General features: G+C 42.6%; 1 protein-coding gene across 28 annotated transcripts in view; it reads left to right on the top strand.

The window, feature by feature from the left end:
- DZIP1 (DAZ interacting zinc finger protein 1) overlaps positions 1-15,197 on the top strand; it is a 66,505-nt gene that overhangs the window by 21,496 nt on the left and 29,812 nt on the right. For 27 of the 28 annotated variants that reach the window (XR_007063670.1, XR_007063669.1, XR_007063668.1 and 24 more), the window contains 5 exons: positions 731-868; positions 3,264-3,326; positions 11,034-11,174; positions 11,718-11,766; positions 13,698-13,754. Coding sequence is in view for 25 of the 28 variants with exons in the window: in XM_047430180.1 (XP_047286136.1) it covers positions 731-868; positions 3,264-3,326; positions 11,034-11,174; positions 11,718-11,766; positions 13,698-13,754 (448 nt within the window). In the remaining 3 variants the exon portion in view is untranslated. The remainder of the gene's footprint in view (positions 1-730; positions 869-3,263; positions 3,327-11,033; positions 11,175-11,717; positions 11,767-13,697; positions 13,755-15,197) is intronic. The other variant, NM_014934.5, reaches the window with a different exon arrangement.

The following is a 15,197-nucleotide window of genomic DNA, read 5'->3' as shown; positions in this document are numbered from 1 at the left end:
ATGAAAAGAAAAGGGTAAAATTAAAAACGTTATGTCCCCAGTGGATTTACTGATGTGGTCCCTGGACAGTGTTGGCCTCTCACTAAACTAGCTTAAGAACCAGGTGCATTCAGTTCTTCTGTTTCTGGTACCTATTAAGTGCCCATAAAAAATTTTAAGCCCCAGCTGGGCCTGGTGGCTCACACCTGTAATCCCAGCACTTTGGGAGGCTGAGGTAGGCAGATTGTTGTGTGAGCCCAGGAGTTTGAGACCAGCCTGGGCAACATGGCAAAACCCTGTCTCTACAAAAAAAATACAAAAATTATCTGGGTGTGGTGGTGCACGCCTGTAGTCCCAGCTACCTAGGAGGCTGAGGTGGAAGGATTGCTTGAACCCAGGGGGTTGAGGCTGCAGTGAGCCATGATCATATCACTGCACTCTAGCCTGGGCAACAGAATGAGACCCTGTCTCCAAAAAAAAAAAAAAAATTAGACTCGTTTAAGATTAGAAAGTTAGATTTTCCTTCCCCTTTTTTCACCCTGTACATATTCTGATAGGAAGACCAGCAAGCAGTAGAAACAAACCAGTAAAACCACAGGGAAGCAGAAGCAGGAGAAGCGTCCAAGAGCGTCCAGGAGCGTCCAAGAGGGCAGTCAGATTTAAAACACAGCTATGTGCTCCCTGATTTTATTCTCTGTTTCCATCTTATGAAAGTCTAACTGTAGTACTGAGCTTGAATTTTATCTTATAGCAACTGTCAGAAATCCAGAAGTCCAATATGCAGATCAAGTCCAACATAGGCACATTAAAAGATGCACACGAGTTTAAAGAAGACCGTTCTCCATATCCCCAGGATTTCCATAATGTCATGCAGCTTCTTGATAGTCAGGTACGTGCAAGTGGGTGACAGCTGCAGTGGATGCCTTCCTTTTTCTTAGTGAAGTAATTTACAGTGAGTGTCATCTGCAGAAAAAGTGTTTGTCTTTTTTAGTAACCCTGAAGGTGACTAGCTGTTATTTTTCTCCTACAGCATGCCTAAATCATAAGAGGTGTTTGTTACATGCTTGCTGTTGGCAAATAGCATACACAACAGTTGGCAGAACTGTTTTGTTTCTTCTCTCCATAAAGTCAATTTGAATTGGTTAGTATAACCTAGCTATTCATTTTTCATCTTTCAGATGTAGCTCTCAATTTCAAAAGGTGTAGAAGGGCATATTGAAGCACCAGATTTAATTTTAGAGTTTAAATATACTGCTAACTGTATTTTTAGTAGAAACGGGGTTTCACCATATTGGCCAGGCTGATCTTGAACTCCTGACCTCAGGTGATCCGCCCACCTCGGCTCAATTAACTGGGCGTGGTAGCAGATGCCTGTAATCCCAGCTTCTCGGAGGGCTGAGGCAGGAGAATTGCTTGAACCCAAGAGGCAGAGGTTGCAGTGAGCTGAGATCACGCCATTGCACTCCAGTCTGGGCAACAAGAGTGATACTCAGTCTCAAAAAATAAATAAATAAATACACACACACACACACACACACACACACACACACACACACACACACACACTGCTAACTGGTCAGCTGATGATCTGTTACATTTATCAAACATAATCACTTTCATTTGGAAGTGACAGCGGTTTAGGGGAACAATTTTTTTAAACTAGGAAGCAAATAGAGATGAGAGCTTATGAATTCAGGATTCTTTTTTAAAAGCCTGGGTCATTCTAAAAAAGGTAAGTAGACTTTGGAAACAGGGACCACTGCTTCTTGCTTCAGTGCTCACATGTTTCCTCCCTGACCCAAATCTACCTGCTCCACTGCAGTCAGGCTGACCATGTCCCTGTCCTGTCTGAAGTCCTTCAGTGACCCTTATTCCGGACTTCCTACCAGCACGCAGGGTCCTTCGGATTCTGGGCCCTGGGCCATCTTTCTCTGTTCTTTGCTTTCCTGGCACTCCAGCGGCCCAGCAGCCCATGCCTCTCAGAACATGCCCTTCTGTCTTTTTCCTCGGTTCTGGCTGCTTTCCTGCCTGTCCTGCAGCTCCCAGTTTTCGGGACCTGTCTTTTACTCATTCTTTAGTATTCAGCCAGGGGGGCAGGTACCGCTTTCAGAAAGTTCTCCTGAGCCTCTAGGCTATAGCATTTCTGTAGTCCCTAAGTGGGATCTGATGACATACACATTATATGTGGATTCTCCATGGCTGTGTCTACTCGCCTCCCGTGCAGAGCAGGGCCTGTCTTTTTATCTTCTTTTAGCCTGCCAGTGGCCATCCAGTGAGGTGCCTGGTATATGGTAGGAAACCAGGAGCTGTGTCCTGAACTGAACTGTTGACAGTTGCTTCCAGCAGGCTGTAGACTACAGCTGGTCGCTCATGAACTGAAGGATGTGGCTCTAAAATCCTAAGGTCCCACCTAAATTTCTTCTGTTTCTGTCCTGTGAGTTGTGTTGTCAGTTCAGAACCCATGGCCTCAGAAACCTTGGTGTTTCCTTTTGGCCTCTTAGGTTGGCAAACTAGCACCTCCTTTTGCAAATAAAGTGTTACTGGCTATGTCCCAGTAACATTTTATGAGTGCTAGTTCATTTACATCTTATCCATGGCTGTTGTCCCAATACAGTTGTGGAATGACACAGCTGTATTGTGTTGTGTTGTGACCAAGTTGTCTGGCCCCCAGAGCCTATGATATTTACTGTTAGCTCCTTACTAAAAAATTTTTCCTGACCCCTGCCTTATGGTAAAAGATTAAAACCAGATGCAAATGTATTTAAGCATTTTTGACTGTGTATATTCTAAAAAATACCAGCTGTATTAGTCTGTTCTAATACTACTGTAAAGAATTACCTAAGACTGGGTAATTTATAAAGAAAAGAGGTTTAATTGACTCACAGTTCCATAGGCTGTACAGGAGGCATGGCTGGAGAGGCCTCAGGAAACTTATAATCATTGGCAGAAGGACAAAGGGGAACCAAGCACGTCTTAAGATGATGGAGCAGGAAAGAGTGAAGAGGGAAGTGCTACACACTTCTAAACAACCAGATCTTGTGAGAACTCACTATCATGAGAACAGCAAGGGGGAAGTCCACCCCCATGATTCAATCATCTCCCACCAGGCCCTTCCTTCAACACATGAGATTTGAGTGGGGACCGAGAGCCAAACTGTTTCACTAGCTAAAATTTTACCAGATAGATAGTTGGGTTTCATAGGTATTCACTAAAAAGGAAGCTCCCATATTGCATAGATCTCATTGTTACAGTTGTACATAAATTATTCTTTTATTCTTTTGTAGGAAAGCAAATGGACAGCTCGAGTTCAAGCTATTCATCAAGAACACAAGAAAGAGAAGGGTCGGGTAAGGTTAAGAAACCAGTGGCCTAAAGTGGGCCATTTTTTAAAGAAATATTTGCTTTCCTTTTTAATAAACATAATATTTGTCCACTTAATAACATTTGGGGAGAAATGTGTAGCAAAATTAAAATTACCTATAATTCTAACACCAAAATAACCACTGCTACTACTTTCTTATAATTTGTTTTCTTTTTTTTTTTTCTCATGAAACTTTTTTAATGGGTCTCAAAATTCTGTGACAAATTTTTGGTCAAGTTGTTCCCATTAAAAAGTACTGATTTTAAAAACTAATAACTTAAAACTGCCACACACAAAAAAGAAAACCAAAGTGGTCCACAAAACATTCTCCTTTCCTTCTGAAGGTTTTACGATGCATTGGTATCATTAACCAGTCTTTTACTACTAAACTTAAATGGCCAATTGAAACAAGCAGTTCTGAGACCATTCTTCCACCACTGATTAAGAGTAGGTTGGCAGGTATTAGGGATAATATTCATTTAGCCTTCAGAGCTTTCTGGGCAGACTTGGTGACCTTGCCAGCTCCAGCAGCCTTCTTGTCCACTGCTTCAGTTTTCTTGTATGCATTTCTGTAAGTGTAGAACCTCATATATACATAGTTTTACAACATTCGAATTATGTTTTGTAGGTTTGTACACTTTTCACTTTATATATCATAGACCTTTCCTAAGTTTTAAAGTATTCTTCAAAATCATGACTTTTAATGACTTTCATGATGATCTTATTGGATGTATCATAAGTGACTTAATCATTTCTTCATTGTCAAATACATGTTTCTGATTTTTTTGTATCACAGAACTGCAATGTAAGTAATTTTTTAAAAAGGCAAGAACTGTTTACATTAAAATCGCTTTAATGAAAACAAACTTTAATTATGACACTGATTCTCTTTCACCTGAGTACATCAGAAATTTAAGTGTTAAAATGTGTTTACACTAGTGCAAAACATCTAAAGTAGATGTATTTGAGAAGGTCTTAAAATAGGAAAACTTCTGTTTATTTTTTCACTTGAAATTGTGTTTTGTACCTTAGTATTTCTTGTAAATCTTTTCTGAATGGAAAAAATGTTTCCTCTTTTGCACATTTTCTAATATTACCTTTCTTAGTAGAATATTAAACGACAAAAGATCATATAATATGTATGTGTATAATTGCAAGGATGAAGTGTGTTCAGATGATCAAAAAATTTATCAGCTTATATTTCTCCAAAGTGGAACAAATACTGAGGAAGACGGGGAGAGAAAAAGAAACTGGGAACAATACTAGAGCCAAACTAAAGCAAACAAAAAATAAAAATATTTCACAAAACACCTGCAGTTCTTGAGGAACTTCGATGGGAAAGTTAGATATTAATCTACCTTTAAGATTGTATCATTGCTAGAAAAGGAAGTAGGAAGCACTATTTTTCCTCTATTCCATTTAAAATATCATTTCATCATGCAAATACTTTATAGTGATAATACACAGACATACACCCAATACACATATCTATAGATATACACATATACAGTAGTTTATATTGAAAATTGTATCACTGATGTGGCAGTTCAATTTAGGAGATATTTACTGAGCATCTGCTATGTACTACACTTTATAAGGCTAAAAAGAGATGTGGAACAATGCCTGCCCTCAGACCGCTTACAGTACAGAAGGGAGTAGGAGTGAGGCTACAGCTATGGGAATCAGGATGGGATAAATGCAGAGTGCCCTAGGGACTGAACAGAGAGAGTTTCTTGAAGTGGGATTAGGGCTGTGTGTGGATCATGCCCATGTTTACATCTTCAGCCTAAACAACTCTTCTGAGTTCCAGATCAGGTAGCCAGCTCAGTACTCGACATCTCCATGGGCTTCTCAAGTGCGACATGCCTAAGATGAAGTTCTTGGGTTTGTTCCCCAGACTTGGCAAATGGCACCCTCGTTCCTCCAGATGCTCATCTTGATTCCACCTTTCTCTCTCAATCCCCGAGTCCAGGCTGTCTGCAGGGCCCACTCTATGGAACCAGTTCTTCTGTACTTTCCTGTTGCCCTGCATTAACTAAGCCTCCATTTCTGAATGGGCCCCAGGGTGGGTCTCCTCAATTCCAGCCTTCCCCTTCCTTAGTCTGCTCTCCACAGAGCCAGCAAAATAACCTGGCTGCTGGCCGCCATTCTAGCCTCAGCCTGACCCCCCCGCCCCACCCCCTGCCTTTCGGAACCTCCTCTTTCCAGCTATGATGACTTTCTGCTAATTTCTAGAACATTCTGGCCTTTTCCTCTTTTATACCTGGTTTTCATTGTTGGCAAGCCCTTCGACTTGCTCTTCACATGGCTACCTCCTTCCCCTCAGTATGAGTTTTCTATTCTGTGTAGCAAATGACCACAAATTGAGTGGGTGAAGATGGCATGTATTTCTCTTCTCAATGTCCGTGGGATAGGAGTCCAGGCAGGGCTTGGCTGGGCTCAGGGACTCACAGGCTGCATTGAGAGTGTCATCTGGGCTGTGTTCCTGTCTGAGGTTCCTTGTGGTTATTTGAAGGGCTGAGACTATCAGGTTCCAGAGGCTACTCCTTCTCCATAGCAGTGCACAGCATGGCTGTTGACTTCAAGGCCAGCTAGAGTGTGTCTCTCTTGCTTTCATTCTCCCGCTTCAGGAAGGGCCTGGGACTTCTTATTTCTTTTTTTTTTGGGGTGAGACAGAGTCTCACTCTGTTGCACGGGCTGGAGTGCAGTGATGCCATCTTGGCTCACTGCAACCTCCGCTTCCTGGGTTCAAGCGATTCTCCTGCCTTAGCCTCCCGAGTAGCTGGGATTACGTGCCACCATGCTGAGCTAATTTTTGTATTCTTAGTAGAGATGGGGTTTCACTGTGTTGGCCTGGCTGGTCTTGAACTCCTGACCTCAGGTGATCTACCCGCCTCGGCCTCCCAAAGTGCAAGGATTACAGGCGTGAGCCACCATGCCTGGCCTGGAACTTCTTTCAGGGGGCTCACCTGAATAAGACAGGCCCACACAGGATAATCTTCCTTTTCATAACCTCAAAGTCCACAGATTTGGGACTGCTATTGCGTCTCCAGAGTCCCTTCACCTTTGCCGTATTCTGTGGTTGAGAAGCACAATGGAGGTTCTCCTCAGACCAAGGGACAGCATCACACAGGGGGTGTACACCAGGGGTACAACCTTGAGGGCCCCCTGAGAACCCTGCCTACCCCATTGCCTCTGGCCTCTGGGTCCTGGTCACCTGATGTCACTCTATCCAAGTAGGTAGTCCCTTTTCTTTATTATTCCCATAATATCTCAAACAGAGTTCTGAGCACTATTTTAAATAGTTTACTTGCTTATTTGTTTCCTTGTTTATTGTCTATCTCTCCAATCACGTCATTGGCCCTCTGAGTGAAGGGCTCTGTCTATTTAGCTCTCCATTGTCTGCCCAGCATCCACTCATGTGTCTGAAATGTGGTTGGCACTCACTACACACTTGCAGAATGAATGTGGAAGGTAGCTAGCTAGGGCATCATTCAGCCTTGTTTTCATAGATGGAGAAAGGCTGATTGTAGGGTTCAGAAGAGCAGGGTTACCAGAGTTGTCTGGAGGTCTAAGCACCATCTGCTGTAGGGAGGACACTAGTCCACGTTTCCACCCTGCACCCAGGGAGCTTCCCCCGTGGCAATGACTATGTAGTTAGGACGATGGCGTTCACCTCCCAGCATATTTTATCTATGGCAGCTAAGATGCAGGATCCCAGGAGCAGTGGATGGTAGTTTCTCTGCACCACAGGTGGCTCCACTGTGCAAGGAGTGTTCTCCTTTGTCCCCCTACATTACACTGAAGCAAAAGTGGCCTGTTCTTACAGTTCATGTCCTGGTGTCCTGGAGCTGACTCATATCGGCTCTCAGCTGTGCACATTTCTCCTCATCAGGGTGTTTTTTTTGAAAGCTGATTTAACCAGCACAACTTTGGTTTCATGGGAACATTTAGAAATAAATGGATATTTGTAGTTGCCATATACTTAAGCCTTCTAAGAGTTCTGTGAAGTAGATGCTGTCACTCATTTTACAGGTGAGGACACAGGGGCTTAGACAGATGCTGTGTTGCCCACGGTCACTGGTATTTGAATGCAGGCCCTGTGTACTCCAGGGCATACTACACTGCTGGCCTGTCTAGCTCCAGGCACTCACCTGTGAAGCTCCCAGCCGGGAAGGAAAACAGGCAGTGACAGCTTCAAGTGGTTGCTTTTCTGTAAGGACGCAGGATCTTTTCTTTGGATGCTCTGACATGGTAATCCCTAACCAGGGATGCACCTCAGAATTACCTGAGACTCTTTTCCAAAGTACAGGTGGCCAGCTCCACTCCCTGAGATCTTGATTTAGTAGATAAGTCTGGAACACATGGATTTTGGAGATAAACAAACCAAAAGCCACCCAGGCTATCCTGTTTTGGATCTATGGTTTGAACCACTGCTCTTAGATCATTAAAATCCCTACTCTTATTCTTCAAGCCATCTTTCTAGCATTGGTATTTAGGGACAGAATTCAGGTTTCTTTATTAATCGGGGGTGGGAAGGCATTTTTAAAATCCTGGCTCCTTTAAAGCTGTCTGTGTTTCAGACAGTTGTGGGAATTTCAGTGGCCTCTGGCTGGAATAGAAAGCGAGTTACAGTTTTTATACTTTGTCATTGCGAGTTGTGATAGAGAGAAAGACGGACAGTTGTCATGGAGGAAGAAGGTGAGGCCTTTCCTGGTTCTGAGTGGGGCGCATGCCTCACATACTAGGTATGTGGGGGCGGATTTGTGCCACCACTAGGCTGCACTCCTTCCTCGTCTGTTGGTTTGACTTGTTTAGAAGCTGCTTACCTCTCCCTTCTTTGCTCTTAAACCCTAACAGAGGGGTGAATTCAATCAGGTTTAGTAATCTCTGCCTGAGACCTAACTATTAATTATTCCACATGATTGGTGCCTGCTGTTCCCACAATGCACATATTGTATTTCTCTGTTTAGGGAAAGTTGCATTTGCCAACTTTCTATTGATTTACTTAGATTCTTGGCAATTTTTTTTGTTTTAAATAACATTGGTAGGAGTTCACAGGCAGTCACAGATAAGCGATGGCATGCCCTTTTTACCCAACAGAAGACTCTTGAGAGCTTGGGAGGTTGTCAGATGGTCACATAATGAAGGAAGGGAGGATGGGGTGATGTGGGCCAGTAGGGAAAAATGCATAGTGCTTGAAATGGGATCACAGAAAATGGGCTCATGAGCTGCAAACTTCAAAATAATTTCTGGCTATGTTTGCCTAGACCCTCTCCATTCCTTTCTCCATGTACTCTTTTCCGTGCCTTTCTGATTCATTCTTAACTCTTCTATTAAGAATGATGTTATCCCTTAGATATTCCCACATCTCCTTTCTTCCTGGGGCCTGGAGCAACTCCCCATGTAGTTGATCAAGGCCGAGATCCTAAACCTCCATCCAGCAGCCTGGACATTTATACTGGCTTTTCCTTCTATTTTCCAGCTCAGCATTTCCCAGACTGCTTTGGAGGCCACTTTTCCAGGGGCCTGTAAAGATGTAGTGAAAGCTCTTGACAATGCCCTCCTTGGGGGAGGTTCTTAGTATCCACTAGGAAAGGAAAGATTCTTTTTAGGTTTCACTCGGAAAATCTTTCTAGATTGGTTCCACCCAGTGTTTGTCCAGCCTCATAGGAGCACAGAGCATTTCAGAGGCAAGGCTGTGCAGGATGCTAAGACACTGCTTTTTTTTTTTTTTTTTTTTTTGAGACAGGGTCTTACTCTGTCACCGGGGCTACAGTGCAGTGGCTTGAGCATAGCTCACTGCAGCTCCAACCTCCTGGGGTCAAGCAACCCTCCCACCTCAGCCTCCCGAGGAACTAGGACTACAGGCTAACCCCACCACACCTAGCTTAATTTTTAAAACTTTTTGTAGAGACAGGGTCTTACTGCATTGCCCACGCTGAACTCCAACTCCTGGACTCCAGTGATCCTCCCTCCTCGGCCTCCCGAAAGAGCACTGACTTTGAAACTTGCATGTGAAAGTTTAAGTCTGGGCTCTGCCCACCTTCGGCTGTCTCAATTAGAGCCAGTGACTTTACCTTTCTAGACTTGAGTTTTCCTATCTGTACGATGGGGCCAAAACATGTGTCCATAACATTGTGGTGTGGATTCAACAAAATGAAGTGCATCTAGTACACAATGAGTGTTAATTTTCTAAAAGCAAGCAAATGAGGAAATGCTGGTCTAGGTGCCCTTATATACTCATCTCAGGCACGGACACTTCCTGCTCCTTTATTTGATCAGGATACCCTGTCACCACTTCCAGGACATAGACTTGGAATGTTCTTCACCCCAATTATGAAGCCTTTTTTTTTTTTGAGACGGAATCTCGCTCTGTCACCCAGGCTGGAGTGCAAAGACATGATCTTGGCTCACTGCAGCCTCTGCCTCCGGGGTTCAAAAATTCTCCTGCCTCAGCCTCCTGAGTAGATGGGATTACAGGCGCCCGCCACCACACCTAGCTGATTTTTGTATTTTTATTAGAGATGGGGTTTTGCCATGTTGGCCAGGCTGGTCTGAAACTCCTGACCTCAAGTGATCTGCCTGCCTCAGCCTCCCAAAGTGCTGGGATTACATGCACGAGCCACCACACCTGGCCTCAAGCCGCCCCCCCTTTGTTTCTTTTTAGCCTTCTGTGTTTAAACAACTACTGAAATTGCTTTAAGCGCCTTTCCTTCAATTATTGAAAACAAATTCTTCTTGAATTCTTTTTGTCCAGTCTATGATCTTCCATGACATTATCTCTAAAGATGAATATGTCTGTGTGTCTCTGTATCTCTGTCCTCTGCATCTCTCCCTTTCTTTCCCTCCCTCCCTCTTTCCCTCTAATCCCCACCATTCCCCCTCTTTTTCTCGGTAAACATCTATCAGTAAACATTTCTCAGAGAACCTGCTGAGGGCCAGGGATTGTGCTAGTTTCTGGGAATATAAAATAATTAAGATGGGGCTGGGCACGGTGGCTCATACCTGTAATCCCAACACTTTGAGAGGCCAAGGCGGGTGGATCGACTGAGTTCAGGACTTCGAGACCAGCCTGGTTAACATGGTGAAACCCCGCCTCTACTAAAAATACAAAATTTAGCCAGGTATGGTTGTGTGGGCCTGTAATCCCAGCTACTCAGGAGACTGAGGCAGGAGAATTGCTTGAAGCCAGGAGGCAGAGGCTGCAGTGAGCCGAGATTGCTCCACTGCACTCCAGCCTGGGTGACAGAGCGAGACTCCATGTCAAAAAAAAACAACAACAAAAACATTAAGATGTGCTCTCTGGCCTAGGATGGCCCATGTGGGCATCGGAAGGACAGGACTGCAGGAGAAATTTAGTACTAAGGGTCAGAGCCACTCTGCAGGAGAAGCCTGAATCCTTTATCGTTGCTCATCATGTGTTATTTCGTGTTATGTGCTGTAGTTGGCTAAGCTGCTCCCATTATCAGTGTTGTCTATTTGGGGACGTGAGCTCCCTTGGGAACACAGATGAAGCACCTAGAGCAGCCAGGGCCAGGATATACCATGATCAAAGATTTATTCAACGACTTGATGCGCACGGATAGCATCAGGCTAGCAAAACAGGCAGAGCATGTATACCTGAAATCTGGAGAATGAAGACATTTGACATGCAGCTTACAGATGGATGCCTTTCTTAACTTTTTTTCAGCTCCTGTCACATATAGAGAAACTTCGAACCTCAATGATAGATGATCTAAATGCAAGCAATGTTTTCTATAAGAAAAGGATAGAAGAGCTAGGGCAGAGACTCCAGGAGCAGAATGAGCTGATTATAACTCAGAGACAGCAGGTATGTCTGGCGGCAGTGTGGCACCGTGCTTCTTTAAGCAACGCAGTCTATCTAAGAACATGTGTTTTTACTTTAGAGCATTTGTAAGTGGTATAAGGTGAGGAAGATGGAATATTTTTCCCCTTGTGATTGCTTGTAAAAGTTAGTGCAATAAAATACATTTTTAAAAGGTATTTAAAAGTAATATGTTGAAGATTTATACAGTTAAAGTTCAAAATTAATTTGATTTGAAGGTAAGTAAGAATTTCTTTCAGTAATTACTCTGAGAAGCAGCCAAATACAAATGCAACTTTAAAAAGATTTTTTGTTATTTTATTTTAGATTCAAGGTGTACATGGACAGGTTTTTTACATGAATATATTGTGTGATGGTGAGGTTTGGGTAATAACTTCTGCCTCTATGCTTTTAAAGACCACATGCCCTATGTCCCTGGATAATTTAGTGAAAAGGTTAATTTACTAACAACATTATCTGTCCATTATCCCATGTGTGTGTCCCTATCTAATTTCAAATGTATCACTAGAAGACTGTATTTCTTTGCAGATTAAAGACTTTACCTGTAATCCATTAAACAGTATCAGTGAACCCAAAGGTAAGTGGATGGGATCCCGGTACTGGCGGCAAGGGGAACCTCCCCAATTGCACTGGGCTTCAGAAGAATGTGGGCCCCACTTGTTTATGTGTGCTAAGATGGCATTCTTCTTGTTGTATTGATTTCGTAGATCTGTCCTCTATTATTTTAATTTGAGAGATTTGTTACCACAACCCAGAAAGGTGAAGAATTTAAAAAATCTAAACTATCATGTAGTTGTTTCATTTTTTTAATCAGAGTACTATTAGGCACATAATACCTGCTTAGGAGCCATTTACCTCTTGACTTATACACTGTAAAACAGAGTTATGCATGTAAAAGCACAAGGTCTGTCGACAGACTGGGTTCAACTCCCATCTCTGGCACTTCATAGCTTTGTGAATCTCTGCCTCAGTTTCCTCAGCTTTATAGCAGGAATACGAATAGTGTTTCAGTCTATTTTCTCTGCTATAATAGCATACCACAGACTGGTATTTATAAAGAAACAAGGTTTCTGGAGGCTGGGAAATCCGAGAGCATGGTGCTGACATCTGGTGAGGGTCAACCTATGGTGCAAGGCATCACCTGGCCAGCTAATGCATGAGACAGAGAAAGGAAATTGGGTCAAACGCATCTTTTTAAATCAGAAACTCACTCTCAATAACTAACCCACTCCTGCCACTGTTGCCGTGTAATTGTTACAATGGCAGTTAAATTTCAACTTGCATTTCTGAGGGGACATTCAAGTCATAGCAAATAGTAACTATATCATAGGCTTGTTATGAGGATTAAATGGGATAATATACCTATTAAGCCCTCATTAAGTTTGCCATTATTATTGATATTAAGCTCTTAGTAGGCCAGGCACAGTTGCTCACATTTGTAATGCCCGCATTTTGGGAGGCCAAGGCAGGAAGATCACCTGAGGCCAGGAGTTCGAGACTAGCCTGGGCAACATAGCGAGTCCCCCTTCTCTAAAAATAAAAAATGAGCTGTGCATGGCAGCAGGCACCTGTAGTCACAGCTACTCAGGAGGCTGGGATGGAAGAATCACTCGAGCCCAGAAATTCAAGGCTGCAGTGAGCTATGATTGCACCACTGCACTCAAGCCTGGGTGACAGAGTGAGACCCACATCTCTTAAAAAAAAAAAACCAAAAAACTCTTAATTATTCTAAAGTGCTATAAAGGCTTGCTGCGTTATTCTCAACTGTGGCTGTTTGGGGGTTACAGGTTTGTTCTAAGTTTAATGGGAATATGCACAACCTACTGACTGCGGCAGTGATAGCCTGCCTGTCTCCATATCATTCAAGAACTCTCTGTCTGTCTCTGTCTCTCTCTCTCTGTCTCTCTCTCACACACACACACACACACACACACACACACACACACACACACACACACACACACACTAAACCAGTCAAGACCAGGGCAAGAGCTGACTTTGCAAAAGAAATAAAAAAAGAGACCAGAAGGGAGACTGGGAGCCATAGGTTCAGGGTCTTACTTCTGCCTAGTTTTCTTCCCAGTGATTCCAGTCCTGGTTCCTGCACGTCTCAGGTTGTTGAGGAATCTTTGTCTATTTGAGAGATGCCAACTAGGGGTGGTACTGGGGTGTATGAGCTGGGTTTCCTCCCTCTTGTTTTGAGATAAAGAGTTCGGGAAAGAGGGTTGTTGTTCCCTTTAACTCCTCTTCAAATAACAAGAGCTCAGGTTAGGGAGGAATATTTGCAAAATTAACTAGATATCATAAATATTTGACTGAAAAGTAATTCTGGGGAAAATTTAGCTTCAAAAAGATGTATGTTACACATATTTATTCTCCTGGTGATGTGCTATATATTGGTACATTTCATTTATGTTTTTTATGGGGGCTCAAATTAGTATAAGGGCTACAAAAATTTAATCCATAGCTTGTGATGTTTTTTGTTCATTTATTTTTCTGTCATTTCAGGAAATCCTTTAGCCTGGCAGGCTTTTGAATCTCAGCCAGCTGCTCCAGCTGTGCCTAGTAAGTTCCTATAATAGATGCAGGGCTCCAAAGGTATCTTTAAAATGCTAAACCAAAACATAACTTTTACTTACTATTTTTAGAGGCTTTTCTTTGAAAACCAATGTATTTAGAGATCACATAATGATTTATTTTGATTCTTAGTTTTGACCTAGTTCTAAAACCCAAGACTACAAATATCCACATGATGTTGTGGTGATTTTGATTAGCTATAGCTATTATTTCACAATTTGTCTAAAAAGGGATGACTAAAAATTCCTTGGCATCACCTTAGTTTATACTTGTAGACTTCTCAAAGTGATACACTATGCGACTGTGTGACTGTGTGTGGTGTCACCACACTTTGAAACTGCTGACACTTTTACTGCTGCAGGCTTTGACAGGTGGCCTGTCTGTCCCCACTTGTGGTCAGCCTGGCCATCTGCTCTATCTCCCGGAGCTGTCAAGATTCTGCAGTAAAACAAAAGGACATAATCTTTACAGTTGAGAAACTGAGAGATGGTTGTTTAAAAATACTAGCTAAATAGCTGAGATAGTTTTGCTTCCATTCAGGAAGGAGTAAGGGCAGGTACCTGTGCCATGTGCACAGGGATCTGACTGTGAGAGGAGTATGGGCTGAGGCTGAGCACAGAGAGACAGCACCACGCTCATGGGCCCAGGGATTGCGAGAGCACTGTGTAGTGACCAAAGGACGTTCTTGAGCGTGTTTTGGAATTTGGCACTATTGGCTGGAAAATGCTGATGGTTTTAACCTCTCAGTCTTCTTGGAGGCTTCTTGAAGCTGAAGAAGTTAAGCAGTAGTTAAGGAGAGGAGAGGAGTTTAAGTGCCCAGAGTAGGGTTGAGAGAGGAAGAGATGCTGAACTTACATCTTATGAAATGAAGGAAAAAAACACATTTCAGAGAAGGACAGAAAGGTCAAGTACTAAATTATTCAAACAAACAAACAATCTTCAGCAGCTGACCAAACTCAAATATCTATGCAGGAAAAAAAACCAAAAAAAAAAAAAACCCAAGTCTATATTTAGTTAGGGTGGTTTTCTCCAAATGGAGTATGCAAAATTATCTATTGGAATGTGGGAAAAAATTATTAGAGGTTCTTTTTATATATTAATAAATCTCATCCTTTTAATTTTTTCATTTTTTGTTTTAAAATGTACACATTTGTATTATAGTATATATAAAATTCATTTAAATAAATATGTGTATTTCTGGGGGAACTTTTACTGATTGGGGAATGTGGTCAAAAAAATATGGATGCCACTGGCTCTAGAAAATTCCAAAAATAATTTAAAAAAATAGGCCCATAGCCCCATAGGTAGCGGTCCCTTCCGAGTGAGGCCCTGGCTTGTCCCATTCCTCTTCCCAGCATACAAAAGGATCTAAAAGCCAAGGTTCTAATGATGGCAGGGAAGTTTTCATCACTTAAAAGAAAACATACATTC

This window comes from Homo sapiens, chromosome 13 (genome assembly GCF_000001405.40).
Source record: "Homo sapiens chromosome 13, GRCh38.p14 Primary Assembly".
NCBI classification, from domain to species: Eukaryota; Metazoa; Chordata; class Mammalia; order Primates; family Hominidae; genus Homo; species Homo sapiens.
This window is presented reverse-complemented; position numbering and strand designations above follow the sequence as displayed.